This window comes from Homo sapiens, chromosome 10 (genome assembly GCF_000001405.40).
Source record: "Homo sapiens chromosome 10, GRCh38.p14 Primary Assembly".
Lineage (NCBI taxonomy): Eukaryota > Metazoa > Chordata > Mammalia > Primates > Hominidae > Homo > Homo sapiens.
This window is the reverse complement of record NC_000010.11, coordinates 73,785,594-73,812,124: the sequence shown is the minus strand read 5'-3', so window position 1 is coordinate 73,812,124 and position 26,531 is coordinate 73,785,594. Positions and strand designations below refer to the sequence as shown.

The window sequence follows — 26,531 nt, the reverse complement described above, 5'->3', positions numbered from 1 at the left end:
AGACTCCGTCTCAAAAAAAAAAAAAAAAAAAAAAAAAAAAAAAAAAAACTTCTCATAAACAGCCTCCAAACAGCGCTCGGTGCTGCGCAGGCGACGCGGGGCGGGGAGGGAGGGTGAGTGCCCTGGGAGCCGGCTGAGGGCCTCGCCCCGCCCCTGGTCCCGCCTCCGGTTAGGCCGCTCCGCCTCTTACTCCTCCCCTCCCCCGAGTGGGCCGGCCCGGCTCCCCCTCCGCGGGGCTGAGTGGATGAGCCCAGGCCTGAGCCCGCCCCTGCTCCGAAGTCGTGGTCCCCGACGCTCGGCCGGCAGTGCCATCGCGCGGAGAGGAGGGGGTGCGCTTCCGCGGGCGGGGCGCGGAGCCCGCCGTCTCGGAGGCCGCGGCTCGGCCCGGCACTGCGGAGGGCCGCTTGATTTCCCGGAACCCAGGTCGCGCGGCTGCTAGGGCCGGAGCCGGTGGATCCGAGCGGGTGCCACCAGCGGCGGCGCGCCGCCTCCCCCGGTGGGAGCGGTGGTTGGGCCAGGCTGCGGCAGAGCGTTCGCTCGGAGATGGCGGAGCAGCCGCGACGCGGCCCGTGGCCCCGAAAGCAGGGAAGCCGGGCAGCCCCGGGACGCGGCGGAGCCCGGGGACAGCGGGGACGCCGCCCAGTCCTCCGGGTGAGCCGCCCCTGAGGAGACCCCCCCGCCCACGGTCGCGCTCAGGCCCCCCCAACAGACTCCCTTGGATGTTGCCACCATCACCACCCGCAGGGTCGTCCCGGGCGGCCCAGCGTGCGCCGCGCCCCGGGTCCTTTCCGCCGGCCTCCCTCAGAACCGCCTCGCTCCCCTCCGGACCGGGCGGGCTCCCTTCTTCCCGCAGGGCTCTCCCAGCCCAGAGGCTGTCTCGATGTCACCCCGGAGTCGCCGCCGCGCGCCTGTGGCCCCTTCCCCTTTGGTGTCCCACATCCGGTGCGCTCTTCGCATCCACCTGTGCCCCCGTCTCCTCTCGGCGGGGCCCCTCCACCCGCCAGCCCCGGGCCCCCTCGGCGCCCGCAGCCTCCGCGCCGCTGCTCCGGCCGTCCCGGCCTCCCCAAGCCCGGGCCCGGCCCCGGCCCCCGTCTGGCTTCGCCGTCCTCAGAGATCTCCCGCACACACCCACCCCGCCCAGCCCTGCTGGCCCTCAGTGTTCACTGGCCCGGCCTGCGGCGCTCCCGGCGCCCCTTCCCTAAACCTTGCTGCTTCTTCCAGGTATGAAGCTAAAATGCAGCGGCTAAGAACGCGGCTCTGGAGCTTGACAGGCCTGACGTCGAATCCCAGCCCTCCCACCAACTGAGCTGTGTGATCCTGGGCAAGGTTCTAAGCTTCTCTGAGTTACTCATATGTGAAATGGGGATAATGGAGCATGTACCTTTTCCCTACCTCTTAGGGCTGGTGTGAAGATTAAATATATGTGAAGCTCTTAGAAGAATGGCTGGCAAGTTGTAATTTCTCAAATACGGGATGATACACCCTGAGTATCAACTTCCCGTCAGTGACCTCCTCACTACAATGTTTTCTCTAAAGTTGCATCACATTCTTAGCATTCACCCCTTCCCGTCACCATTTTGATCCTCTCCCCCAGCTGTCTTCTCGTGTCGTTTTACCTAGGCCAAAGCTGAACTGTTTTATTTTTATTTTTATTTTTATTTTTTTTTGAGCTGGAGTCTAGCTCTGTCACCCAGGCTGGAGTACAGTGGCACAATCTCAGCTCACTGCAATTTCCGCCTCCCACGTTCAAGTGATTCTCCTGCCTCAGCCTCCTGAGTAGCTGGGACTACAGGCGCCCACCACCATGCCCATCTAATTTTTGTATTTTTAGTAGAGACGGGGCTTCACCATGTTGGCCAGGCTGGTCTCGAACTCCTGACCTCAAGTGATCACCCGCTTCGGCCTTTCACAGTGCTGGAATTACAGGCGTGAGGCACCACGCCTGTCCTGAACTGTTTTTAAATCATCTCTGTCAATTCTGAAGGACCTCAGCTCTGCCTTATCACCCCTGAGATGTGTGTTTGGGGGTGGGTGGTAGAGAGGGATTGCCAGCCTTACAAGGAGGCTGAGTGGGGATAGTGACAATAAAGCTTACAGAAGCAGTCGATTTAAGAAAAAGAACAGACTCAGGAGGCTGAGGCCGGAGGATTGTCTGTCTGACCCCAGGAGTTCAAGACCAGCCTGGGCAACGTAACAAGACCCCCATCTCTAAAAAAAATTAAAAATTAGTAGGGTGTGGTGGTGCAAAGCTGTAGTCCCAGCTACATGGGAGGCTGAGGTGGGAGGATCACTTGAGCCCAGGAGTTTGAAGCTGCAGTAGGCTATGATCACACTAGCACACTGTATCCTGGGTGACAGAGCAAGACTCCATCTAAAAATAATAAAAGAGATCCCCAAAATTAGACCTCCTTAAAACTGTTTTCTGATCACACTGTCCTTTTTCCTTCTGTCATTGGTTGGATGTGACTTAAGCTCCTGTTGCTCTCTGTCATCCAGTCCTTACTCAAGTTGTTCTGTTTGTGTAACTGGACTCAATACCTCATGTCTCTCCAGACTAGCTCAGGGACTCTTCTGAGCTGTTTAGGAATAGGGTTGTAGAACTACTTAGGCTAAGTTAGGAAGGAGAAGTAGAGTGGACTCAGCTGTATGGCTTTTCTCAGCACCCAGTGTGTGGCCTGCTCAGGGGTTACATTTTTATCTCCTGACTGGCAAAGTTGAGGTGAAGGTCAGGGGCAGGTAATGTTTCACAAGCAACGGGTAAGGGAGTCCCTAATTTCTGGGTTTGGAAACTGGTAGAATGATTACCTATCATGAGGATTGCTCTTTCCTTTTGAACTCCCCCACCATAGTGTCCACCTGACTGCAAGTTCGTTAAAGCTGTTGGCTGTGATATTGGGTTTGATTGATGAGAAGATTAACAGACTCATGAGTTCCTTATCTGATATTTTGTTGGAGCATGGGACTTCTGAAGACTTCCGGGGCTTTCCGTCCCTTCCTCACAGAAAGATCAGAGCTGTTGCTGGCTGCCAGCTGCTCGGTCATGGGCTAGGAACTCCTTTCAGAGCAGGCCTGTTTTTAGCCTTCTAGGATATTTAGCCTCTTGTTGATGGGAGATTTGTTCCTATCATTTGCATATACTGCTCCATCTCTGAGCTTTGCTTAGAGAGGAGAATTTGGACATTCATTTGGGTATTCTAAGAAAGGGAAAGGGAACAAGCTGTGAAGCTAAGGTATAGGACTCAGCTTGTAGATTCTCCTAGAGGAAACTTTTTTTTTTTTTTTTTTGAGAACAGATTATCCAGTAAGCAGGAGGTAAGAGAGATGGGATGGGGAGGAGAATGGATTAATGACAATTTCAGAGGGAGGAGTAACCCACTGATTTCTCTGTCTTACAGGTAGAGGGGAAGAGATTGAACTTTGCTGACCTTTGATGTGAGGCGCTCAGCCAGGGCCAAGGGGAGAGCCTGGCAAGATTTGCAGCCTGAAGCCATGGGCCAGGGGGCCATGGTGACCTGAGACAAGTGGACTCTGTATAGTTGCCCCCTGCTTCCCCTTCTACCTCCCCTACCCTATGCTAAGGGGACTCGTCTCCACCTCGTAAAGGAAACTCCCCAAGGGAATCCCTGTCCCCTATTTTCCTATCCTTCTACCCTTCCAAGACAGTCCTAGCCTATAGAACTCCTACCTCCCATCCCCTGAGGTGGTCCCCATTCCTCCCTCCCTTCCTCCCCCCGCCATGCTCCAGTTGTGGAAGGTGGTACGCCCAGCTCGGCAGCTGGAACTGCACCGCCTCATACTGCTGCTGATCGCTTTCAGCCTGGGCTCCATGGGCTTCCTGGCTTATTATGTGTCCACCAGCCCTAAGGCCAAGGAACCCTTGCCCCTGCCCTTGGGAGACTGCAGCAGCGGTGGGGCAGCTGGTCCTGGCCCTGCACGGCCTCCAGTTCCACCTCGGCCCCCCAGGCCTCCAGAGACAGCTCGAACTGAACCCGTGGTCCTTGTGTTTGTGGAGAGTGCATACTCACAGCTGGGGCAGGAAATTGTGGCCATCCTGGAGTCTAGTCGTTTTCGTTATAGCACTGAGTTGGCACCTGGCCGAGGGGACATGCCCACATTGACTGATAATACCCATGGCCGCTATGTCTTGGTCATTTATGAGAACCTGCTCAAGTATGTCAACCTGGATGCCTGGAGTCGGGAACTGCTAGACCGGTACTGCGTGGAGTATGGTGTGGGCATCATTGGCTTTTTCCGAGCCCACGAGCACAGCCTACTGAGCGCCCAGCTCAAGGGCTTTCCCCTTTTTTTACACTCAAACTTGGGGCTCCGGGACTACCAAGTGAATCCTTCTGCCCCGCTACTGCATCTCACACGCCCCAGCCGCCTAGAACCAGGGCCACTGCCTGGTGATGACTGGACCATCTTCCAATCCAATCATAGTACATATGAACCAGTGCTTCTTGCCAGCCTTCGGCCAGCTGAGCCCGCAGTGCCAGGACCAGTTCTTCGTCGGGCCCGGCTTCCCACTGTGGTACAGGACCTGGGGCTTCATGATGGCATCCAGCGGGTGCTCTTTGGACATGGCCTTTCCTTCTGGCTCCACAAACTTATCTTCGTTGATGCTGTTGCATACCTCACTGGCAAGCGCCTCTGCCTGGACCTTGACCGCTACATCTTGGTAGACATCGATGACATCTTTGTGGGCAAGGAAGGGACCCGCATGAAGGTGGCTGATGTTGAGGTCAGTCTTGTTACTTAAATTTTTTTCTTAGAAGCTATTCACACTCTGGCCTGTCAGACTCCCTTCCTTGATTCTGAGCTTGTCATAGGTACACTCCCTGCCTTTCCAGGCAGGAAGAATGCTACTTCTCATGTATTTCCTGTTCAGTCTGCTCTCCTGATTTCTCTTGTCCCTGCTACTCTTCCCAGGCTCTGTTGACCACCCAGAACAAACTCAGGACCTTAGTTCCCAACTTCACCTTCAACTTGGGCTTCTCGGGCAAGTTCTATCATACTGGTGAGCTTATACCCCTACTCCTTTGGCATATCATAGTTTGACCTGTCCCTTCACTGTCCACCTCCCTGGGCAGACAAGTTGAAGAAAAGGGTCAAGGTTTGGGGTCAGACTGCTGTGAGGAGCTAGTGGTGGGCATGAATTTAGGTTCGCATGGGTGGCTGGATGGCAAGTTGGCAGTGGGGCAAATAGAAAGTCTTAGGCAAGGATCAGGGATGGAAGGTGGTCAGTGTTGTTACAAAATAAAGGAGGGAACAGGGGCTGACTGGCTGTGGTCAGTGGTCAGCGTGTGGTCATAGGGACAGAGGAGGAGGATGCAGGGGACGACATGCTGCTGAAGCACCGCAAAGAGTTCTGGTGGTTCCCCCACATGTGGAGCCACATGCAGCCACACCTGTTCCACAATCGCTCCGTGCTGGCTGACCAGATGAGGCTCAACAAACAGTTTGCTCTGGTGAGACCCTTGGATCTCTTCCCCATAATTTCTCCCAGCCATGCTTCCTTTTCTACCTTCCCCTAATGGGCTACCCTTTTCCTATCCTTTGCGTTTTTCTTTATTTGGAGGCTTCCCCACCCTCTTTACCCTCTACTCCCCAAACCTCACCAGGTCCTGGTGAGAGTCTATGCCATTCCCAGGAGCATGGGATTCCCACGGACCTGGGGTATGCTGTGGCCCCCCACCACTCGGGTGTGTACCCCATCCACACGCAGCTCTATGAGGCCTGGAAATCCGTGTGGGGCATCCAGGTGACCAGCACTGAGGAGTATCCCCATCTCCGCCCTGCCCGCTACCGCCGTGGCTTCATTCACAATGGCATTATGGTGAGGGACTCCCAATACAGGCTTGAATCAAACTCTAACATTTAGACAGCTTTCAACATGCATTGACCTATGTTCTCTATCAACTGCCAGTCCAAGTATGGGGGTACATAATTGGGGGTAGAAAGGTGAAAAAATTTTAACACCCTCAGTAAGAGCTTTATTGCTATAACTTCAGACTCAGTCCTCTATAAATCCCAGTGTCCTCCATCTACTTCTCATTCTATCTTTCAAATCTCATCTGTTTTTTCTTTTCCCTCCAGGTGCTGCCCCGGCAGACATGTGGCCTCTTCACTCACACAATCTTCTATAATGAGTATCCTGGAGGCTCTCGTGAACTAGACCGGAGCATCCGAGGTGGAGAGCTCTTTCTGACAGTGCTGCTTAATCCGGTAAGGTGCTGAGAGGAACGGCTAGAAGATTGGAGAGCCAAGGTGTTTGCAGGCTGGGACCTTTATTCACCAAGGCTAATTCAGAGGTGGGGTAGGCTCTCCAAATCTGACATGCAGGTACCCCTTACAGATCAGCATCTTTATGACCCATCTGTCCAATTATGGAAATGACCGGCTGGGCCTATACACCTTTGAGAGCTTGGTGCGCTTCCTCCAGTGTTGGACACGGCTGCGCCTACAGACCCTTCCTCCTGTCCCACTTGCACAGAAGTACTTTGAACTTTTCCCTCAGGAGCGAAGCCCCCTTTGGCAGGTAAAGGTGGAGCTCAGTCTGATGAGAGACATGATAGGGGTGGGGTGTTTTTTGTTGTTGTTGTTGTTGTTTTGAGACAGAATCTCGCTCTGTCACCCAGGCTAGAGTACAATGGCACAATCTCTGCTCATTGCAACCTCCACCTCCCAGGTTCAAGCGATTCTCCTGCCTCAGCCTCCCTAGTAGCTGGGATTACACGCACCCGCCACCACGCCCGGCTAATTTTTTGTATTTTTAGTAGAGACGGGGTTTCACCATGTTGGTCAGGCTGGTCTCGAACTCCTGACTGCAGGTGATCCGCCCGCCTCAGCCTCCCAAAGTGCTGGGATTACATATGTAAGCCACTGCGCCCAGCCGGGGTGGGGGTTTAAGAGAAGACTAGGCCAGGCCGGGCACGGTGGCTCATGCCTGTAATCCCAGCACTTTGGGAGGCCGAGGCAGGCAGATCACCTGAGGTCAGGAGTCTGAGACTAACCTGACCAACTTGGAGAAACCCTGTCTCTACTAAAAACACAAAATTAGCCGGACATGGTGGCACATTGCCTATAATCCCAGCTACTCAGAAGGCTGAGGCAAGAGAATTGCTTGAACCCAGGAGGCGGAGGTTGCAGTGAGCCGAGATCATGCATTGCACTCCAGCCTGGGCAACAAGAACGAAACTCCGTCTCAAAAAAAAAAAAAAAATAGGCCTTATCTGATTATTGGCCCTGGCTTCAGAATCCCTGTGATGACAAGAGGCACAAAGATATCTGGTCCAAGGAGAAAACCTGTGATCGTCTCCCGAAGTTCCTCATTGTGGGACCCCAGAAAACAGGTGAAGTATCCTTAGCTAACTTCTCTTGCCCTGCCTTAAACCCAAAGGATCCTTTTGTCAAGGAACTCTCTTCTCTCTCCAGGTAATCACAGGAGTGAAAAAAGTATTTTTAATTTTAATAATTTTTTTTTTTTTGAGATAAGAGTCTCACTTCTTTGCCCAGGCTGGAGCGCAGTGGCACGATCTCAGCTCACTACAACCTCCACCTCCCAGGTTCAGGCAATTCTGCTCAGCTTCCCTAGTAGCTGGGATTACAGGCAGGTGCCACCACACCTGGCTAATTTTTGTATTTTTAGTAGAGACGGGGTTTCACCATGTTGGCCAGGCTGGTCTCGAACTCTTGACCTCAAGTGATCCGCCTGCCTTGGCCTCCCAAAGTGCTGGGATTACAGGCATGAGCCACCGCACCCGGCCTTAATTTGAATTTTTAAGAGAGAAAAAAAGGAACTCCTTTTATACCCACCCCTCATTGATCCAGTCTCTTGAGGCAGTGATTCCTAACCCTGGTTGTATATCAGAATCATCTGTGGTGTTTTTACAAGATCACAAGTCATTCTGGTGCACAGTTAAAGCAGAGAACCACTGTTTTAGCCCTTCCCTGGGCCTCTCTCAGACTTGCCTCCTATCATTGTAGTTTGGCCATAGGGGATTTTCCTACCCAGAGTGGTTATTTTTTCACTTCCTTCAAGCTTATGCTGTTGAGCTGGCTTCCCTCCCACAATGGCTGCCTGAAGCTGGTCTTTCTCTCCCATTTAGGGACTACAGCTATTCACTTCTTCCTGAGCCTGCACCCAGCTGTAACTAGCAGCTTCCCTAGCCCCAGCACATTTGAGGAGATTCAGTTCTTCAACAGCCCTAATTACCACAAGGGTATTGACTGGTGAGACTGGGCCCCATTTGAATGTTTCTCAGAGGAACACTCCCTTCCCCCAAAATACCCCATTCCAGCTTCCCTCAGCACAGACTTCTGGCCACTTCACTCTGCATATTTTTCTGCTTCTCTCTCTTCTGTGCTACTTCCTAGGTACATGGATTTCTTCCCTGTTCCTTCCAATGCCAGCACTGATTTCCTATTTGAAAAAAGTGCCACCTACTTTGACTCTGAAGTTGTACCACGGCGGGGGGCTGCCCTCCTGCCACGAGCCAAGATCATCACAGTGCTCACCAACCCTGCTGACAGGGCCTACTCCTGGTACCAGGTCTGCCTGAAGCTAGGGACACACAGGCTAAAGGTTGGGGGGAGGGGGGAGGGGACAGTGACTGCTAGAGAGGGAGAAAGGAGTGAGGTTTGAGAAACTTAACTAGTGCCTTGGGGACGGGTACCCGTGCTGTGCTGTCTGTCTCCAGACCAAGCGTAAGGGCAGAATACTGTCAAATCACCAGTCCTTCACCTTCCTTCTCTTTGTCCTTCAGCATCAGCGAGCCCATGGAGACCCAGTTGCTCTGAACTATACCTTCTATCAGGTGATTTCAGCCTCCTCCCAGACCCCTCTGGCACTACGCTCCCTGCAGAACCGCTGTCTTGTCCCTGGCTACTATTCTACCCATCTACAACGCTGGCTGACTTACTACCCCTCTGGACAGGTATAATCCCCACAAGAGCCCTCAGTGGGGTTCCCCTTCCCCTCTTCTTCCCTTCAGCCCAGAGGCTTCTTAGGAATATAGAGGGAACCACATCCCTGTCCTTTTAGTTGCTGATTGTGGATGGGCAAGAGCTGCGTACCAACCCAGCAGCCTCAATGGAGAGCATCCAGAAGTTCCTGGGTATCACACCCTTTCTGAACTACACACGGACCCTCAGGTGGGAGAGCATGACCCAGGGGAGGAGTACTGTATGGGAAATGGGGAAGCAGGTTGACCATGTCTGTTAGAGACATAGATTTACTCTGTCTCACAAGGAGAGACATGTCCCTGTGGGCAGGGAAGGGCATTGTGCATTTATGGAACTTGAGTTTCTCTTTTCCCTGCCACCTCATGGCCTCTTCCTGTTGAGCAGGTTTGATGATGATAAGGGATTTTGGTGCCAGGGACTTGAAGGTGGTAAGACTCGCTGTCTAGGCCGGAGCAAAGGCCGGAGGTATCCAGATATGGACACTGAGGTAAGTAAAGCCAGGGGCAGGGGAATCCCTCTCCACTTCCAGGATCTGATTCTGTGTCCCACTTCTTACCATTTCTGCCTTCATTTTCTCCTGTCAGTCCCGTCTTTTCCTTACGGATTTTTTCCGGAACCATAATTTGGAGTTGTCGAAGCTGCTGAGCCGGCTTGGACAGCCAGTGCCCTCGTGGCTTCGGGAAGAACTGCAGCATTCCAGTCTGGGCTGATGTCCCAGCCTCCCATACCAGCAAAATGCCCCCTGCTTCCCTAAGGGGCAGGTCCAGAGCAGGGCCCACAAGGGGGATTAGAGTGGCCTGGCCCCTCCCCCTCTACCTCAGTAGCCCCCAGGCCTGAGATGGCTGAGAAGGGAAGGGTATCCTTTTCCCACAGTTCTGGGACAAATAAAGGGGCTTCCTTTGGTACCCCACATAATAGTGCTAGGTACCTTTGACCCATCATCTTGGGAGGTGGGGAGGAATGAGAGGGTCCAGGCAGGGTGTAGGGGAATGTATTAGTCCAATGAGATTTCCCTCTTCATCCGCAGCAGTGTATCTATTCTATACCTGGCTATGGGAGAGACCCCTTGCATGGGAGGGACCCCTTGCTATGGCCCCTTTAGCCAGGCAGTGGGATCTACCTGTGGCCCGGCCTCCCTAATGTCATTCACATTGAATGGGGATGAGGTCGGACAGTGGCTCATAGAGCCGAGTATGAGCCCTAGCTGTGGGCTAGAAATGTCCTTAATAAACATCCTTATTTTTCTGTTTTGTCTGCCTCCCTGGAGTGGGAAAAACCTAGACTAAAGCAAGTGTCAGAAGTTTCCTCCCCAGTTGAAGGTTCATCTGCACATGGAATTTGGAAAGAAGGGAAAGGCCCAGGTCGACTAGAGTAAAAAAGGAGTTTATATATTTATAAATGCCAAATAAATACCAGAGGCCACCCAACGCCCCCTCCCAGACAGGGCTGTCTCCCCCAGCCCTAGGCTTCTAGGGTGTGAGACATCTTGGCCCCAAGCTATAGCCCAAGAGCAGCTGTCAGTCTGTGCTACCAGGGAACTGAGTGAGGATGATCTGTCCAGCCAAGTTTCACTCCCCCTGTGTGAGGGGCCCCCATAGCCACAGGCCTGGGTCCCTGTATAGGACCCTAAGGGTGAAAGACTCAGGGGGAGAAGGTGGCCATCTCGAGTGAGACCCGCTGCCACAGCTCCTTGGTCTGTTTGCTGCGCTTGAGGTTCTGTAGGATGTCGTTGAACTGCATCATGCCCATGGGCGTCAGGCAGAAGGCGCTGCGGGCACTCCGGATCGCATTCACAAAGTCGTCGTAGTCCGCAGGAGTCAGGTGAATCAAGCGGTGGTGGATGTACTGGAGGAGGATGTGTGCAGGATGAGCCTTAGTACAAAGCACAGAAACAGGCCCTGCCTCCCTCTGGTCCAAGACCACCCAGGAAGTGCTCCACCCTGCTCCATAATTCTAGGTTGTCACCTGCATGTATGCCTGCTGGCAGCGCTGCACCAGTTGGTGGAAGGCCGGGGCACGCAGGTGGTTGTGGGCATGAGCGGGACTCAGCCGCTGCAGCGTCTCCATGACGATCTCCTGCAGCACAAACGGGCTCAGCACCCCCTTGGCTGCCCCCACACAGAACTGGTGCACGTAGTTCACTCCTGGGGGGCAGGGGGAGGGGCATGAGACGGGGGTGGCCACCTCTGCCCTAGGGACCCAACTTACAGATCTCAGCTCTGGCCTGGCAGAGAGCCTCCCTCCACCCCAGGAGCTGAGGTAACCCTCCGCCCCCCGCGCACGCACACATACCCGACCAAGGCCTCAACTCTGAGCAAGAGCTAGGAAGGAGGTCTGGGATAAGGAAGGTGGGGAGAGCAGGTGGGGGGGGGGCAATGGTCCTAGGGAGGGGAGGTGTTACCCAGCTTTGCTGCCAGCCCCAGCAACCATTTGACATCATCAGTGTAGGGGGGGGAGCGGGAGAAGTTGTTGGGGTGATCGTTGTGTGCCCGGCGACCCAGCATCTCCAGTGCCAGCATTCCTGGGAGATAGATAAGGGTGGGCACATGGTACGGTGTATCCTCTTCACCCTTTACCCCAACCTGTCACCTGACCCCACAGTAAACAAATGAAGAGCTAGAGGAAGGGTCCTCTGAAGAGCCACTGGCACAACTGCAGGTAGGAGCACAGAAAGGGATGTCCTCTCACCGACACGGTAGGCAGCATGCAGGTGGTGCAGGCTGTGGGGATTGACTGGCTGACTGTGTGTCTCCTCCTCGGGCGGTGGAAAACCTCCGCTCACCAGAGGGCTGGGCTGTGTGGTCAGGGCAGGCAGTGAGGCACCTTGGATGGCTGGAAACGTGGATGCTGGATGGACACTGCTCACTAAGTGGGGTGAGAGCCATGTGAGGAACTCAGAGCCCAAAGAGAGACAAAGAACATTCCCTCCCCACCTCCCCTGCCCAGTGTGCCTCCCCTCCATTCACCTGTTCCCTGGCCCCACAACTCACAGGCCACACTGGTGGGCAGTGGAAGCCCTGGCTCTGTGTGGTAGGGATGTACTGTGATGGGTGCCATGGAAGGAACGGGGAAAGACACAGCAGTGGCAGCAAGTGAGGGAGGAGTCACTGAATAAGGGTACTGAGCCCCTAGGAATGCAGGATGCACACCCTAGGGGCAGGGAGAAGAAAGGGGAAGATGCCAAACTTGATTAGGATGTTGCTGTCGTGCTTCACCCCCACAAGCTGCTATCCTGACATGTTTTTTTTGAGATAGAGTCTCGCTCTGTCCTCCAGGCTGGAGTGCAGTGGCACGATATCGGCTCACTGCAACCTCTGCCTCCCAGGTTCAAGTGATTCCCATCTCAGCCTCCCAAGAAGCTGGGATTACAGGCGTGCACTCAGCTAATTTTTAGTAGAGACGGGGTTTCCCCATGTTGGCCAGGCTGGTCTCGAACTCCTGACCTCAAGTGATCCACCCACATCGGCCTCTCAAAGTGCTGGGATTACAGGCATGAGCCACCATGCCCGGCCGTCATTTCTTATTTTAGTTGGGCTGGGTCCCCCAGACTCCCACCACCTCACCAGGACTCTCCGACTGACCAATTATACTCCCAGAGTACCCACTCCAACCCCCTATGAATTCCCAGTATTTTCCCATGCCTTACCCCCCAGCAGAACACTGGTCTCACCTGTGGGTATGCAGAGCTGGGCACAGGGAAGACGGCAGGCCGGGGCATGTGAGGCATGGGGTGGGCAGGGTGAGCTGGGTGAGTGAGATACTGAGGGCTACAGGGCAGGTGGGGCTGTAGAGCAGTGTAGGGGTGCAGGCCAGGGGAGTGGCCATGCCCCAGTCCTGGACCCGGGTATAAACTAGACCCCACCGATATGACGGGCACCACTGTGGCTGCTGCTGTCACTGCTGCCGCTGCCACTGTAACCGGCTCAGTCCCTGGGCCCCCTCTACCCTCAGGCATACCCCGCCCAGCTTCCCCACCTGCCCTGATCCCACTGGCACTACAGCTTGTAGCCCCTTCACGGGCTGTGGATGAGCCACCTGCAGTTTGCTCATACAGCCAGAACCACTGGTGAGCAACCTCAAACAACACTTCAGGGTACACGCCCCCACCCTTAGCTGCCTCTTCCACTGCCATGCAGGCCTTCTCCAACATCAGGTTGTCCTGGAAGAGAGGGGCACAGAGTGTTAAGGGGGAAAGGCCTTTACCACATGGAAGGTGTTAGATGAGATTCCAATGTCTCCCTCAGAGCTGTCTCATTCCCAGGGAATCATCAGAGGTCAGTGTCAATGCTTAGAGTCCATTATCAGAGCAGTGAGTGCTTCACACACTGAGTAAATACTGACCAAAATGAGTCAAGACCCAGGTTATAGTCCCAGTTCCAAACTAATTTAACAGCCCCCTCCCATTCAAGTCTTAGATGTATGAGGCCTTCCCTAAGTTTTCTATCCTGAGTGATCATCTTGGTCCCTAAACCGTAGGCCTCCATTTCCTTATCTGTAAAATAGAAATAAACCTAACCTTTGAGTTGTAAGGTAAAGGAAAGATGGGTGTGAAAGCACATTAATGGGTAAAATGTTGCCATGAGAGGACCAACAATCATCTGTAAACTCCAGGATACGGGAATCAAGAGCTGGGCCCTTAGCTTTCCCATGCCCAACCTCCCTGCCCAGATGCCCCAGAAGAGGTTCCCAGATTGCCCGTAGAAATACCTGTTCCTTGCACTGCACCAGGGCCCGCTGGATCTCATTAGGGTTCAATGCATGGGCGTGAGGCAGGCAGCTCAGGGCCAGCTCTGCTGCCGCCCTCACCATATTGGAGTCTCTTGCCCGTGATGCCCTGTCAGCCAGGGATGCAACCTCAGGGGGTGTCAGGTGCCCATCCCAGCATTCTACCAGTATAGTCAGGGCTGCGCTGCCTATCTCCATGGCCTGGCCTTAGGGGAAAGGAGAGAAGGGCAGAGTTGGGTTAGTGTGGGCACCACTGGGGTGTGAGAATAATGTCTTTTTATCAGATCAGTAACCCCACAAAGATAAGGGTCTTATCCCCACCAATTAATCCCCCTCCCATACCCAAGTCAGGTCAAATGATTTACCTGTAATCCAGGAAACGTGGGAAGAATAAGTACGTGAGAGCCAGTTGGGAGAAACAAAGTTGTGCAGGCCAAGGGCATAAAGCCCAATCTCGAAGGCGCAAAGGTGCAGGTTGCGGTGAGGACCCTGGTGGCCCCCTGAGGAAGATGGATGTGTGAAAATGGAAGTGCTGCTGTTGCCCCCTGCCTTGATCAGCACTGTCTTCGCCAGCTCGAAGTAGAAGTGTGCAGCTGCCTCTGATGGCTGATTGGGTACATGAGGGGCATGACTCTCGGGGCGGCGGCCCTTGTACCTGAAGGGGCAATGGGGTAGGGACGGGGGTTGGGGTTTCTTTGAAATGGGCATCCGGGTAGGTTGGGAAGGACCAGGGAAAGTGAGGATGCTGGGAGACAATGGTTGGATTGCACTAGGGGTGTGGCTCTGAGGGTGGGCCAGATCAGGGAAGATGGGGAGTTCTTCCCACTGACCTGCCAACTTCAACAGTCTTCGCCCGGGCTCCTCCACTGGCACTGGCCCGGCGACTTCCACTGGAGGATGAGGAGCCCAGGGAGTCCGAAGAAGAGCTGCTAATGCTGTCACTGTCCTGACCTCGACCCCAGGAGGTGGGGGCCCAGCCCCCTCGAAGTGGTCTCCGGCTTAAGGTGGGGGAACTATCCGATGTTGTTTCAGGGGCACTGCTGTCAATGCTGGCCATGCCTAACCCCCAAGAGAAGTCAGTCTCAGAAGTCAGGAGTCCCAGATGTTAAGACTCCAACCTTCAGGATTATCCTTCCCTCTATGCTAGCCCACAGGCTATCCTACCTGTGTGCTTCTTCTTAGGCCGTCCTGGGGACCCCCATCCCCGTCCATTATAGCCTCCACGACTGCCAAGTGCCAAGCGGCTAGGAACCTTCCCTTCTGGCCTTGGGGTCAAAGCTGCCTCAGATGGAAGACCCTCACAGGGGGAATGTGGGGAACTCTCTAGGTGAGGAAAACAGGACGCTGGGATGAGCCCAGGAAAGGGGACCTCAACATAGGTCCACACCATTCATCCCCCCTGCCCAGTGCCCCCACCTCACCAGGCACATTCTTCTCTGTGAAGCCCTCAGTGGGGCCTGGCCCAGCCCCTGCCACACTCCCTGGTTGAGCAGGCCCTGCAGAGCCTGAGGTCAGTGGTTGCAGGGCCCCTGGGGCAGATGGGCCCCCGTGCTTTGAAGGAGACCTCTGGCTGGCTGTGGTTGGGCGGCTAGATGAGTAGAAAGAACTCAGCGTCTGTGGCTTATGTGTCTGGCTCTCTCGGTCCAAGAGTTTGTCTAAGATCTGGAAGACAGAAGCAGTGACCTCCAGAGAAGCAGTGACAGGATGCCCTTTAGCTCCTGACTTCTATTACCTTCCTTTCTCCTTGAAACAGCCAATTGCTACATCCTCAGGGAGCCTTCCCCACTTACAACCACAGGATGACCTCCTGGTTTACATGTCTTTTTGTAACTTATTTAACCCCAACATATCTTGGTATCCTCCATTAACACCACAGGGCAGAATATACTGATAGTCAATAAATACTGAAATAAGTGAATGAATGACTTTATGCCCTCTGCTTCTCTTCTTCCACCCCATGCCCAAGCACTCCTATAAGAACCATTGGTCTTCTCTTATTCTTTATGAGATGTCCCCAAGATTCCCTACTTACCTCCTATGGGCAGAAGAGCACTTTTCTTTTTTTCTTCTTCTTCTTTTTTTTTTAAGAGACAGGGTCTCGCTCTGTTGCCCAGGCTGGAGTGCAGTGGTATGATTATAGCTCACTGTAGCCTCAAACTCCTGGGCTCAAGCAATTCTCCCACCTCAGCCTCCCGAGTAGCTGGGACTACAGGCGCGCGCCACCATGCCCGGCTAATTTTCTAATTTTTTGTAGAGACAGGGTCTCACTATGTTGGCCAGGTTGGTCTCAAACGATCCTCCCGCCTCTGCTTCCCAAAGTGCTGAGATTACAGGCATGAGCCACTGCACCCAGCCTAAAATAGCACTTTTCTCATTGTACTGGAAACTCCCTGAGAAAGGTAGTAAAATGTGCTCTCTTTCTCTGCCTGTCAAAGGCCCCAGTACCTTGCCTTTTTTTTTTTTTTTTTTTTTTGAAACAGGGTCTTGCTCTGTCACCCAGGCTGGAGTGCAGTGGCGTGAACCCAGCTCATTGCAACCTCTGCCTACTGGGTTCAAGCAATCCTCCCACCTCAGCCTCCCGAGTAGCTGGGACTACAGGCATGTGCCACCACACCCAGCTGCTAATTTTTTGTATTTTTTGGTAGAGACGGGGTTTCGCCATGTTGCCCAGGCTTGTCTCAAACTCCTGGGCTCAAGCCATCTGCCCGCCTCTGCCTCCCAAACTGCTGGGATTACAGGCATGAGCCACCGCACCCAGCCCCAGTCTCTTACCTTCTTAAGCTTGGCCTGGTCGTCCTTGTAAGTGATCATTAGTGCTAATGCCAGGTCACCCTTCTCCCGACGTGTGCCTTCACATAAGAGGGGATGTTCTGCCTCGCTCACTGTTGTCTTCATGCCTGCGAGAAAGAGGACCTTATGGGGATTGAGAGTAGTCATAATTCCCAAGACAGCAAAGGTAAGAGGCCAGGGTTCCCAAGCCATCAGCATATGAAGTAAGGGGTTCCCTTGGTCCAACCCACATCACCTATAGAAGTCTTCGTTGACTATTATATCCAGCCTAAGCTCTGGTGTGCTTTTCAAAACCTTCATAACCAGGTCCAATCTGCTTACCCAGCATGTACTTATCATTTTAGGGAAGCTGGCCTCCTCATTCTCATGAAAACTTGATTGCGTTGTGTATTTACTCATGGTGTTCGCTGGTTTAGGACCTACTGATCTTTTAACCCACATTCCATATTCTACCACTTCCCTTAGGCCTTTCTCTAGATTTTTGTTTTGCTGCCCTTACAATACCCAATACCCATAGCACACAATTTTTTTTTTCTTTGTTTGAGACAAGGTTTCACTCTGTTGCCCAGGCTAGAGGGCAGTGGTGCAATCACAGTTCACTGCAGCCTCAATCTCCAGGCTAAAGCAATTCTCCCACTTCAGCCTCTGGAGTAGCTGGCAGCACAAGGCATGTGCCACCACACCTGGCTAATTTTTTTTTTTTTTTTTTTTTTTTTTTTAAGTAGAGATGAGGTCTTGCTAGGTTGCCCAGGCTGGTCATGAACTCCTGAGCTCAAACAATCCTCCTGCTTCAGCCTCCCAAAGCGCTGCGATTACAAGCATGGGCCACCACGCCCAGCCATATAGCACACATTTTTGCCCTGAATTCCTGTCTTACAGGCACTAGTTGGCTCACACATGTCATCCTGACCTTCCCATTACCATACAGCCCTTCACAACAAGGCACAGGTCTCATGTCCTTCAAGACCTGAACCAGGCTTAGCTCGTTGATATGCTCAAGACTCACCCAAGGCAGCAACTGCTGCTTCAAATCCAAGCTCCTCATCCCCAGGTGTCTCGCTGTTCCAGTTGCGACTTGGGGGCCGGGAACCTGTGGGAGAAACCACTGTATAAAAGTTGGGGTAAGTCAGGCAGACAGAAGTATCATGCATGGGAAAAAATACAGGGGAACCCAAAATCCTCATCATCACAGACCTACCCATGAAGCTGCCTGATGGGTCCTAAAGGTGATTCAGAAACTTGGGGCTCTTGGTCTTTCTTAGAGAAAGCTACCCCTACCCCAGTTCCCCACTTACTGTAGGGTCAGGCATCATACCTGGAGCACAGAGAACGTCAAAGATGAAACTGGCCAGCATGAGAGGCAACACAGGCCGATAGTCACAGAGTGTCCCCTCCCGAAGTTCCTCTGCCCGGCACCGCATGGTACTCATCTCACTTGGACCCAGAGGGATCTTCTTGAGCAGGGCAGCCACCTCAGACTCCTGGTATGCCAGCTTCACCTGAGGGCACAGGAAGGAGCTCAGACCTCTGGTGTGTCAATAGAGATCAAGGTGCAAGGCTCTAAAGAGACTGAAATACAAGGCTGAGATGGAGCCTCTGACCTCCAAGGCCTTGGTAGAAGCTGGAGGCCTCTGTAGCTCCAAGGCAAACATGCCAACTCGGAAGGCCAGGTTGTGGTGCTCTGGACGCTCACTTAGCACTGTCAACAGGAAGGCCGCCTTGCTCAGGGTGTTGGTAGCCACCCAGGTCTGACGGCTCGTGGATACCTTGTTCTTCTTGCCCTAGAAAGGGAAGAAACACAGGAGACAGGCAGATGATTCTGACTTACCTTGGTGGAGGTAGAAGGATGCTCTCACTTGGGGTGGGGCATGGGAGCAGGTTGGGGGTAAGTGGGGGAGGGGAAGGTAGAGGAAGGGGGTCTCTCACCTTGGCAGGGGGCGGCTCTACCTTGAGGTCGGGTGGGTTGGCTAGCAGATCCTGGGCAAGCTCCACAGTGAGACGGGAGGCCTCACTGCTATAGCCATGCGCATGCAGGGCCTCAGCACAGGCAAACAGTACCTGGAAGGAGGACATGGGACCAGACAGGTTAAAGTCCCAACTTCCAGGAGCAGGACATCATGCTCACTCATGCAGCCAACATTCCTTGAACACTTGCTACATGCCAGGCCCTGTGCCGCTCCATAGGAGCTCTGGTTAGAAAGACAGACACATAAACACACATGCCACCGTGATGCCAGCTATTACAGGGAAAGGTCAAGGGGAAGCAGGTGGGATATCTTGGGGCACAGGGACAGTATCAGAGAGACTCCCTAGAGGAAGTGATCTTTAAGATCCCTGAGACCTGAAGGAGAAACACGGGCTAATGGGGAAGAGCATTCCAGGCAGAAAGGTCAATCTGTCCAAAATCCTGGAGGCAAGAGAGAGAGCATGGCAGATACATGAGTGATTCAGCTGACTGGAGTGCAAAGGACAGAGCAGCCAAGTGAGGCTGGCAAAGCAGGCAAAGACCAGATCAAGTGGACCCTCACAGGTCATGCCAACCACTTTCATTTTATCATAAGGGCAACAGGAACCCATTGAAGGGTTTTAAGCAGCAGAGTGACACCATCACATTTCAGGAAAATCTCGTGGAAGCAGAAAAGTGAGTAGACTGAAAGCAGGGAGACCAGTTCGGCGCCTGCAACAGGGTTCTCACAATCCTGCTGATGGTCCTGACACTCCCAACTAGAGCTAGATAGCCCCTCCCAGTTGTGGCTAAGGAGCACCCAGCCCTCCCTCCTTCCATCCCCTCACCTCCATGCGACTCTCCTGTTCCAGTGGCTTCAGCCCAGCAAACAGGTCGTGCTCCTCCCCAGCCCCGCCCTCGGCCTTCTCTTCCTCGCCCCCAGCCCCATCCTGGGCATTCAGATAGTACGCCTGGTAGTCATCATCCTCCTCTCCAACTGCAGGGGCTGCCTCTTTGGTTTTGGGAAGCCCATTGCCACTCTCATCTGTAGAAGGGAGGTCGTCCTGGGTACAGACATCCCCAGGCAGTAGGCCAGGGGGGCCAACAGAGGCTGTGGGAGGCTCAGGCCCTTCCGAGAAGTACACACCACCATCTTCTTCATAAGTATCTGGGGGCTCAGGAAGGAAAGTGGAAGGGCCTCGGGAGCCACCGTGGAGAGGACAGGGTGGAGGGCTCTCAGGGAATCCCCCGAAGGTGCTGGCCTCTGCGCCCAGGGCCAGGCTGCTGTCATCCAGGCTCATCTCGGCCAGGTCTGGCTCCAGGGAGCTGTCTTCGCTGCTCAGCCGTCGCTTGCTTCCGCCACCTGCTGAGCCCTTGCTCCCACTGCCAGCCCCACCCAGTGCCTTGGCTTTGCCCCCACCTGGACCCATCTTATGTAGAGCTTTATCTCCCCCTTCAGCTGAGAGGCGGCGGGGACCCCGCTGTGATGAGGGGACCCCCTCACCCAAGCCCTTTCGCTTGGTCCCAGGCTCCTTGGGCCGCACAGCTGGCTCAGTAGGAAGGGGTCGGGGCCGGTCCCGGGATTCCTCCAGGCCCCCAGAGCGGGAGGCACCTGGCCGAGAGGGCAGGGCCCGGGCCCAGCACAGTGCCAGCTTCCTGTCAGTGCCGCTGTAGGTGACACCAGGAAGTGGGTAGGCCTCTTCCCAGTTGAAGTAGCAGGCCTCCACCGCTGGCCGGAAGCCGGGGAAGAGCCGCTCCAGCGTCTTCTTGTGTTGGCCCCGCTTGACGTTCTCAATCACCTTCAGTTGCCACTGCCGCAGCTGCGTACACAGTTCCCGGCGCCTGTGGGAACAAGGGGCAGGAGGCTGCTGAGGGGCTACTGGGAAAGGATGGGCATGGAGTAGGTGTACACCCCAAAGAGAGGCATGGGGAAAGGATACAGGAAAGTACTTCTTGACCCAGCCCCATAAGCATCACTGAAACACTGGAGAATTTTGAAAAGTGGGTGTTATTTAGGGGAAGGAAGGATGAAAGCCTCTCAGAAAAAGGACTCGTAAATCACTGCTAACACCAGTGCTCAGCACCTCCCGTTTCCCGAGGACTAAAATCATGGTATGTCTCTGCAAACAAGGAGATGAAGGCTCAGTCTGTCCTGAGCTGGCCCAGGCTCAGTTCTGTGGTGAGCCTCAGGGGAGACTCACCGCTGGGGGCTGAGTGCAGGGTCCAGCACGGCCAGCCTCCACAGTGTGACCATCTCGTCACACATGCTGGCACAGGCATGGGCTGCCACCTCTGACTGCCCGTTGCTACGGCCCGTGTGCCCACTGGCACTGCTGTGTGAGGCTGAGGTACGTACGCTATACCACCAACCTGTTATCTGGAGACAAAGAAGGCTGTGAGCTGCACCTGAGAGCTCAGAGAAAGGCAGAGTAGCCCTCCCAGAGTCCATTTCAGCAAGAGGAGGATGAGGCAGGGGGAGGGAAAGAATGAGCTACCACGGGGCTCCCCAACGCTGAGTGATTACCTGTTCATAGGTGAGGCACTGGTCAGTGAGGATTTCCAACAAGGGGGCAGCATTGCTGTCCCTCCGCTTGAACATCTCCCGCACAATGCTTAGCAGGTTCCAGACGCCCTCTGGCTCACGGCCCCTCAGAGGGCGCAGCAGACATGCCCATTCAGCAGCGGCTGGCGGCTCCGTGGAAGACAGATACATGGAGTTCACATCACTGTAAAAGCAGAGGAACAGAAAACCATGACAGTAAGACGGGGCTGAATGAAACCTAAAAGGGCTTCCGGCCCCAAAATACAGAAGATAGAGGGAAAAAGACATCTGTAACAAAATTTTTTTTTTTGAGACCAAGTCTTGCTCTGTCGCCCAGGCTTGAGTGCAATGGCGCGATCTCACCTCACTGCAACCTCCACCTCCCGGGTTCAAGCAATTCTCCTGCCTCAGCCTCCCAAGTAGCTGAGATTACAGGCGCCCGCCACCACGCCTGGCTAATTTTTGTTTTTTTAGTAGAGATGGAGATTCGCCATGTTGGCCAGGCTGGTCTCGAACTCCTGATCTCAGGTGATCTGCCCACGTCAGCCTCCCAAAATGCTGGGATTATAGGTATGAGCCACCGCCCCCAGCCACAAAAACTCTTTAAAAAATCTTTCTCTGTTTCCATTTCCTGATCTATCAAAAGAAGAAAAGGAACTCTTGCTAGGTAAGAGCAGACCACTCTGTGACTGTACAAGGTCATCATCTTCCATCAATTCGTTAGTGACAACTGTGTGCCAGGCACTGTGCCAGTTCAGGGAATAAAAGGTAGGGGTCACAGGCATGAATAGAAGAAAGGATCTGTCATCAGCCTGAGGGACGCTCCCCCTCCACCACAGACACAGGTATGCAGAGATCCGATTTACCTGAAGACCACAGGGGAGGGGCCACAGAACTTGTGCAGTGTCTTTTTGATGTTGTCAGTGAGTGTCGATTCATCCAGATACCAAGTACTCTGGTCCGATGCTGAGGGCCCTGCTGTGGGGTCTGAGGATGACAGGCAGTCAGTCATCTAGAGATAGGGGCCTGGATTTGCCTGACAACAGCAAGCCTTGAGTAAATGGCGCTCTGTACTACAAGCTGGCTTTCTTCCTACTGCCAATCTTTCTCACCACACTCACCCGGAGCTCCACACACTGTATTGATGGCTGTTGACTGGGAAGACAGGAGTTCGTCCAGGAGACGCTGAGCTGTGGGGAGGATCTGAGGGAGAAAGAGACGGAGGCAGGCAGAACACGGCCTAGGTGAACCCATGGAGGCCTGGGCCTAACAGGAAGGCTGTTATGCGGCCTGGCCCGGAGCTAATTGCAGGAGGGGGTGCCGACCTCACCCACCTGCTGAGGGAGCTCACTGATGAGGTACTGAGCAAACTTTTGCAGCTGGTCCCTCTGTAGCCGGGACAGGGACTCTGAGACTGGGGCTCGCAGGCAGACTGCAGAAGCCTGAAGGGGACACAGAGAAAAATGGAACAATCTGAGAACAGGTTTGCTGGAGCTGGAGCTGGGGGACAGAGAGGCAGAGTAGGCGAGGCGAGGGGGCTCACATTGTAGCCAGGCATGCAGCAGAGAAGGGGGGGATGGAGTGTAGGATAGGGCCGGGATAAATTGGGAGGGCCTCACGTTGTGGATGCGGAAGAGACAGAGTGCCACGACGTGGGTGCACCATTTGGCCCCAGCCCCACAGGTACAGCTGCAGGAAGTGACCCGGCAGCGGTCAAACATCACAGCCACGTTGTAGGCCCCTTTAGGAGGGACCATCTGAGGTGGCACCACTGTAGCACTCAGGTGGAACCCTGGGGAGAAATGGGGGCATGGTCAGGGAGTGCTGTCAGGACCTGGGTCTCTGCCCTTGACCCTGGCCCTGCAGTTATTCAGACAACATGCTCCAGCTTCTTGCGGTGTGTTCTTACTTCATAAGCCAGGGGATGGGAGGAGCAGGATGTGCCACATGGCATGATGGCCCACTCACCTATCTGCAATGGGTCCTTCACAGCCCGCATGCGGAAGAGCTGATCCCCTCGCTGAAACTCATCCGCACTGCCATTGGCCAGGCACGAATACAGCCTGGGGGTGAAGAAGAGGACACAGCCACAACTCAGCAAATAACCTTTGGCAGACCCTGTCAGAGACCACAATGCCCTAGGCACTCTCTCCCTAGCCTCATTCCTTCCCCAGGGCGGGGGGTGGGGGGGAGGGAGTGGAATCCCAGGCAATCCCTCCCTTGTCTTCCTCTTACCACTGCCCCAAATACAATGTCTCCTTTGTTCTATGGGAAACCCAGCAGACAGTGTGGAGTATCAGGACCCCGCTCCCCACCATCAGTCCTTTGGCCTCACCGAATGTCCTCTTCATTCTCAGGGAAGCTCCAAAAAGCAATTCGGAGCTGTAGCTGCTCAGGCACTGGTGGGTAAACTTTCTCCACCACTTCAAATGGGATATGAAATGCCACCTGCTTTGCTGACAGCTCCACCAATGGGATCACCAGTCCATCTTTGCAAACAATGGTTGGGATCAGGGGAAAGAGAATAGGAAATGAAAAGGGCCATGGTCTCTTGGCACTCATGCCAGTACAACATCCTGGGCCTCATCTTCACTATGAAAGAAAGAAGAGACCTGGATGAAAGTCCTAGGGATCCCCCTATCAGGATACACTAACCCTTAAGGCTCCATATGGGAAAGGGGAGCTGGATAATCCCCAGCCCACAGCCGGCTACACCTAAGGTCTAGAACAGAAGATACCAGAGATATCTTAAGAAACTCCTGGCCAGACAGGTGCGTTCCAGGACCCTAGCAAGTAACCCTGCTCACATGGCTCAGCACTGAATTTCCCATATTCCATGAGCATTTTAAATTCAAATTACATGGTTAATGTCTCTCCTCTGGCATTCTTGTCTCCGATTGCCTTTTTTTTTTTTTTTTAACCATCCCTTTTACTCTAGATGACTGTAGGCCCCCAGCTAAGGAGACAAGATAGACCAGAGCCCGGAAGGGATCTCAAGAAGCACGAGAGGCCAGACCACTTTTGGCGCGCCTAAATGACAACTTCCCACACTGGAAACCCTCAAGGGGAGAGAGTTATCGCAGGGCACCTAGCTACTGCTGCAACTGGAATCACCTGGACTAAGATAAAGTTACCACTCAAGGTTTTCCACAGTGTTTTAACCAAAAAGTAGTGATAACATGACAAACTACATCTCACAAAATTGCTAGTCACATTAATAGATCAGAAAATCATAGAATTAAAAAGAACCTTTTTAGAAGAGTTAACCCCTTTATTTTATTTTTTTGATTTTTATTTATTTATTTTGAGATGAAGTCTCACTCTGTCACCCAGGCTGGAGTGCAATGGTGCCATCTTGGCTCACCACAACCTCTCCCTCCTGGGTTCAAACTTACCTCCCACCTCAGCCTCCCAAGTAGCTGAGATTACAAGCGGGTGCCAACACACCCAGCGAATCTTTTGTATTTTTAGTAGAGATGGGGTTTCACCATGTTGGCCAAGCTGGTCTCAAACTCCTGACCACAAGTGATCCACCCGACTCGGCCTCCCAAAGTACTGGGATTACAGGCACGAGCCACCGCACCTGGCCAACCCCTTTATTTTACAAGTCAGTGACTGAAGTCGGGGGACTGGGGTAATATGGCATGTTTTCCCAGATTTTAACCTGACCAGGAAGATACCAATATGTTAACAATCTTCATCGCTATGACTTCAGTTACTTCCCTCAAAGTGAGGGAGCACTAAGCCCCAAGACCACCCACATACTCAAATATGAAAGAAGCCAGAAGGCCACAGAAGACCCACGGTAAAACTGCCTATGATCTGTGTGTGTTTGTGTGTGTGTACACAGGCCATATCCTCTCTCCAACTGAAGCTGAATGCCACCAGTCCGCCACTCCTAAAAAGTGATATATATGCCGGGAGCGGTGGCTCACGCCTGTAATCCCAGCACTTCGGGAGGCCGAGGCGCGCAGATCACCTAAGGTCGGGAGTTCAAGACCAGCCTGACCAACATGGAGAAACCCGGTCTCCACTAAAAATACAAAAATTAGCCGGGCATGGTGACACATGCCTGTAATCCCAGCTACTCAGGAGGCTGAGGCAGGAGAATCGCTTGAACTGGGGAGGCGGAGGTTGCGGTGAGCCGAGATCGTGCCATTGCACTCCAGCCTGGGCAACAAGAGCAAAACTCCGTCTCAAAAAAAAAAAAAAAAAGTGATATATGTAAATTTCTCTCTGTCCCAAAGGAGCACCAGAAATCTCCACAAGCCAGTTTGGAAAACAGGACTCTTGGAAAGGCCTGAGTAGAATCACACAAATTAAACATCTCAACTGCTGAAAAAAGCCAGCTTCCACTGAGGACCAGGACAAAAACTGTGCCATGAGGAAGGCACAGCAGGCAAGTCCCAGCCTTGGCTTCTGACAGATATTTGACATGGCCAGAAGCAAAGTCTATGATCTAAACCTATGAACTATGGACTCTCTGGCAGGCCAGTTCACCTCTATTTTCCTCTGGGTAGGATCCCTTCTTGGTGCTTCTGGGATCAGAGATCATCACCCCGAAGCAAGAAGCTCCCAATGCACTTTGCAATGCGGTGACAAGCCACAAGTGGTCACTTCTTCACAATCAGCCCCCTACCCACATTCTCTTCCTCTACTTTCCGGTATGCCTCAGACTGAACTCACTTAAGTATTCCCAAGTCAAAGACAAGATTCTTCTCCCTTATCCCCTCTCTAAGGCAAAGGAGTGACGAAAGATTTACTTTCTGTCCACAGGATCTCCCTGTCACAGCGCGCGCACGCGCGCGCGCGCACACACACACACACACACCCACACACACACAGGTGTGGAGAAGCCAGCCCACCCCAGGAAGGCCGGAAAAGCGAGTTCTGAAGTCTGTTCTAAGCTTGGGACAGCTCCCAGTCGGGGACAGCTCCCGGCCGGGGACAGCTCCCCTTTCTTCCCCTGGTTGAAGAGAGCTCTTGGTCGGGGACAGCTCCTGGTCCCGGACAGCTCCCGAGCGAGGCCCAAGCAGGGCCTGCCGCTCCTCTTCCCCCCAGCTCACTCTCACCTCGCATTCTGGTACCGCCACTGCCACCTCCGCCACCGCCGCCAGTGGGGGAATTGGGCCCCGCTGACTGTTTGCGCCATCCCCGCCAGTTCTGGCAGAGGCTCTCGGCCTCGGAGATGAAGGAACAGAGTGAATCCTCCTCAAAACGGTCCGAATCCTCGAATGAGAAGCGCTCTCCGTCCTCCCACTCTGCAAACATCAGCTCCATGGGGCCCGCACCCCCCGGGGCCGGGTCCCCCCCCGCGGATCCGGGGCCTGGGCCGCCGGCCGGGGGTTGAGGGGAGGCCCGGGGCCTGAGGGGCGAGCCGGGGCTGGGGGTGGCCGGGGCGCTCAGGGCGGCCGTGCCGGGCGAGAATCTCAGGCCTGGGAAAGAGACGGGACCGGGCCTCGCCCAACAGCGCGGTGCAAGCGGTGATCTTGGCCAGTCTCCGAGACTTAGGGCCGGGACGAAGCGCTCGGCGGCTGGGGCCTCTAGGCGGCTGCGGAGCCGCCT

General features: G+C 54.0%; 2 protein-coding genes and 2 long non-coding RNA genes across 34 annotated transcripts, besides 4 other annotated features; 3 read left to right on the top strand and 1 right to left on the bottom strand.

Annotated features, from left to right (window-relative positions):
• Positions 13 to 722: a silencer, noted in NCBI's record as "silent region_2490". NCBI's record gives its function as "represses an Ori minimal core promoter by ATAC-STARR-seq in GM12878 lymphoblastoid cells {active_cell/tissue: GM12878}" and the evidence as "EXISTENCE:reporter gene assay evidence [ECO:0000049][PMID:35858748]".
• Positions 305 to 10,209, top strand: NDST2 (N-deacetylase and N-sulfotransferase 2). Of its 5 annotated transcripts, none has more exons than NR_160744.1 (15): positions 305 to 651; positions 1,222 to 1,326; positions 3,396 to 4,741; positions 4,930 to 5,017; positions 5,314 to 5,468; positions 5,622 to 5,836; positions 6,097 to 6,225; positions 6,356 to 6,538; positions 7,256 to 7,352; positions 8,109 to 8,232; positions 8,377 to 8,551; positions 8,766 to 8,936; positions 9,044 to 9,116; positions 9,349 to 9,451; positions 9,549 to 10,209. NR_160744.1 is itself a non-coding variant. In NM_001330107.2 (15 exons), exons 3-14 carry the CDS (start codon positions 3,737 to 3,739, stop codon positions 9,408 to 9,410), a joined length of 2,448 nt encoding a protein of 815 aa, NP_001317036.1. In that variant the 5' UTR covers positions 527 to 651; positions 1,222 to 1,326; positions 3,396 to 3,736; the 3' UTR covers positions 9,411 to 9,451; positions 9,549 to 10,209. The 5 variants fall into 5 exon arrangements, 2 of the variants coding, with proteins under 2 accessions (NP_001317036.1, NP_003626.1); NR_160743.1 differs by having other exon boundaries at positions 9,044 to 9,153; NM_001330107.2 differs by having other exon boundaries at positions 527 to 651; positions 5,651 to 5,836.
• Positions 305 to 15,611, top strand: NDST2-ZSWIM8-AS1 (NDST2-ZSWIM8-AS1 readthrough). Of its 3 annotated transcripts, NR_182658.1 has the most exons (18): positions 305 to 651; positions 1,222 to 1,326; positions 3,396 to 4,741; positions 4,930 to 5,017; positions 5,314 to 5,468; positions 5,651 to 5,836; positions 6,097 to 6,225; positions 6,356 to 6,538; positions 7,256 to 7,352; positions 8,109 to 8,232; positions 8,377 to 8,551; positions 8,766 to 8,936; positions 9,044 to 9,153; positions 9,349 to 9,451; positions 9,549 to 10,785; positions 11,566 to 11,622; positions 14,066 to 14,303; positions 14,536 to 15,611. It is a non-coding gene; the product is annotated as an NDST2-ZSWIM8-AS1 readthrough (long non-coding RNA). The 3 variants fall into 3 exon arrangements; NR_182656.1 differs by lacking the exons at positions 9,549 to 10,785; positions 11,566 to 11,622; NR_182657.1 differs by having other exon boundaries at positions 9,349 to 14,303.
• Positions 1,023 to 1,092: a silencer, noted in NCBI's record as "silent region_2489". NCBI's record gives its function as "represses an Ori minimal core promoter by ATAC-STARR-seq in GM12878 lymphoblastoid cells {active_cell/tissue: GM12878}" and the evidence as "EXISTENCE:reporter gene assay evidence [ECO:0000049][PMID:35858748]".
• ZSWIM8 (zinc finger SWIM-type containing 8) lies at positions 10,332 to 26,519 on the bottom strand. Of its 25 annotated transcripts, none has more exons than NR_160292.1 (27): positions 26,039 to 26,519; positions 23,302 to 23,455; positions 22,935 to 23,029; positions 22,586 to 22,758; positions 22,301 to 22,408; positions 22,088 to 22,169; positions 21,833 to 21,953; positions 20,949 to 21,150; positions 20,626 to 20,801; positions 19,273 to 20,266; positions 18,406 to 18,537; positions 18,081 to 18,260; positions 17,795 to 17,978; positions 17,486 to 17,584; positions 16,462 to 16,586; positions 15,722 to 15,804; positions 15,111 to 15,351; positions 14,854 to 15,012; positions 14,520 to 14,748; positions 14,055 to 14,344; positions 13,672 to 13,895; positions 12,635 to 13,123; positions 11,955 to 12,114; positions 11,653 to 11,829; positions 11,366 to 11,485; positions 10,930 to 11,108; positions 10,332 to 10,809 (listed from the first exon to the last, which is right to left on the bottom strand). NR_160292.1 is itself a non-coding variant. In XM_047424870.1 (27 exons), exons 1-27 carry the CDS (start codon positions 26,244 to 26,246, stop codon positions 10,606 to 10,608), a joined length of 5,427 nt encoding a protein of 1,808 aa, XP_047280826.1. In that variant the 5' UTR covers positions 26,247 to 26,519; the 3' UTR covers positions 10,332 to 10,605. The 25 variants fall into 25 exon arrangements, 24 of the variants coding, with proteins under 24 accessions (XP_047280826.1, XP_047280818.1, XP_005269712.1 ...); XM_047424870.1 differs by lacking the exon at positions 15,722 to 15,804 and having other exon boundaries at positions 11,931 to 12,114; positions 19,273 to 19,469; positions 19,572 to 20,266; XM_047424862.1 differs by lacking the exon at positions 15,722 to 15,804 and having other exon boundaries at positions 10,930 to 11,040; positions 11,931 to 12,114; positions 19,273 to 19,469; positions 19,572 to 20,266.
• On the top strand, positions 10,726 to 15,611 carry ZSWIM8-AS1 (ZSWIM8 antisense RNA 1). Its single transcript, NR_038357.1, has 4 exons — positions 10,726 to 10,785; positions 11,566 to 11,622; positions 14,037 to 14,303; positions 14,536 to 15,611. It is a non-coding gene; the product is annotated as a ZSWIM8 antisense RNA 1 (long non-coding RNA).
• Positions 22,368 to 23,567: an enhancer, noted in NCBI's record as "CDK7 strongly-dependent group 2 enhancer chr10:75548316-75549515 (GRCh37/hg19 assembly coordinates)". NCBI's record gives its function as "activates an origin of replication core promoter dependent on BRD2, BRD4, P300/CBP, MED14 and CDK7 cofactors, with strong dependence on CDK7, by STARR-seq in HCT116 cells {active_cell/tissue: HCT116}" and the evidence as "EXISTENCE:reporter gene assay evidence [ECO:0000049][PMID:35650434]".
• Positions 26,200 to 26,419: a silencer, noted in NCBI's record as "silent region_2488". NCBI's record gives its function as "represses an Ori minimal core promoter by ATAC-STARR-seq in GM12878 lymphoblastoid cells {active_cell/tissue: GM12878}" and the evidence as "EXISTENCE:reporter gene assay evidence [ECO:0000049][PMID:35858748]".

Bases quoted from the DNA above. Each gene is read 5' to 3' on its own strand.
- NDST2 (NM_003635.4), top strand. From the start codon at position 3,737: ATGCTCCAGTTGTGGAAGGTGGTACGCCCAGCTCGGCAGCTGGAACTG. The intron at 8,552-8,765 runs GTCTGCCTGAAG...TTTGTCCTTCAG, and splicing joins GGGCCTACTCCTGGTACCAG to CATCAGCGAGCCCATGGAGA. The intron at 9,452-9,548 runs GTAAGTAAAGCC...TTCTCCTGTCAG, and splicing joins ATCCAGATATGGACACTGAG to TCCCGTCTTTTCCTTACGGA.
- ZSWIM8 (XM_005269648.3), bottom strand. From the start codon at position 26,246: ATGGAGCTGATGTTTGCAGAGTGGGAGGACGGAGAGCGCTTCTCATTC. The intron at 23,456-26,038 runs GTGAGAGTGAGC...TTGTTTGCAAAG, and splicing joins TGGCGGTACCAGAATGCGAG to ATGGACTGGTGATCCCATTG. The intron at 23,030-23,301 runs GTGAGGCCAAAG...CTTCACCCCCAG, and splicing joins GAGAATGAAGAGGACATTCG to GCTGTATTCGTGCCTGGCCA.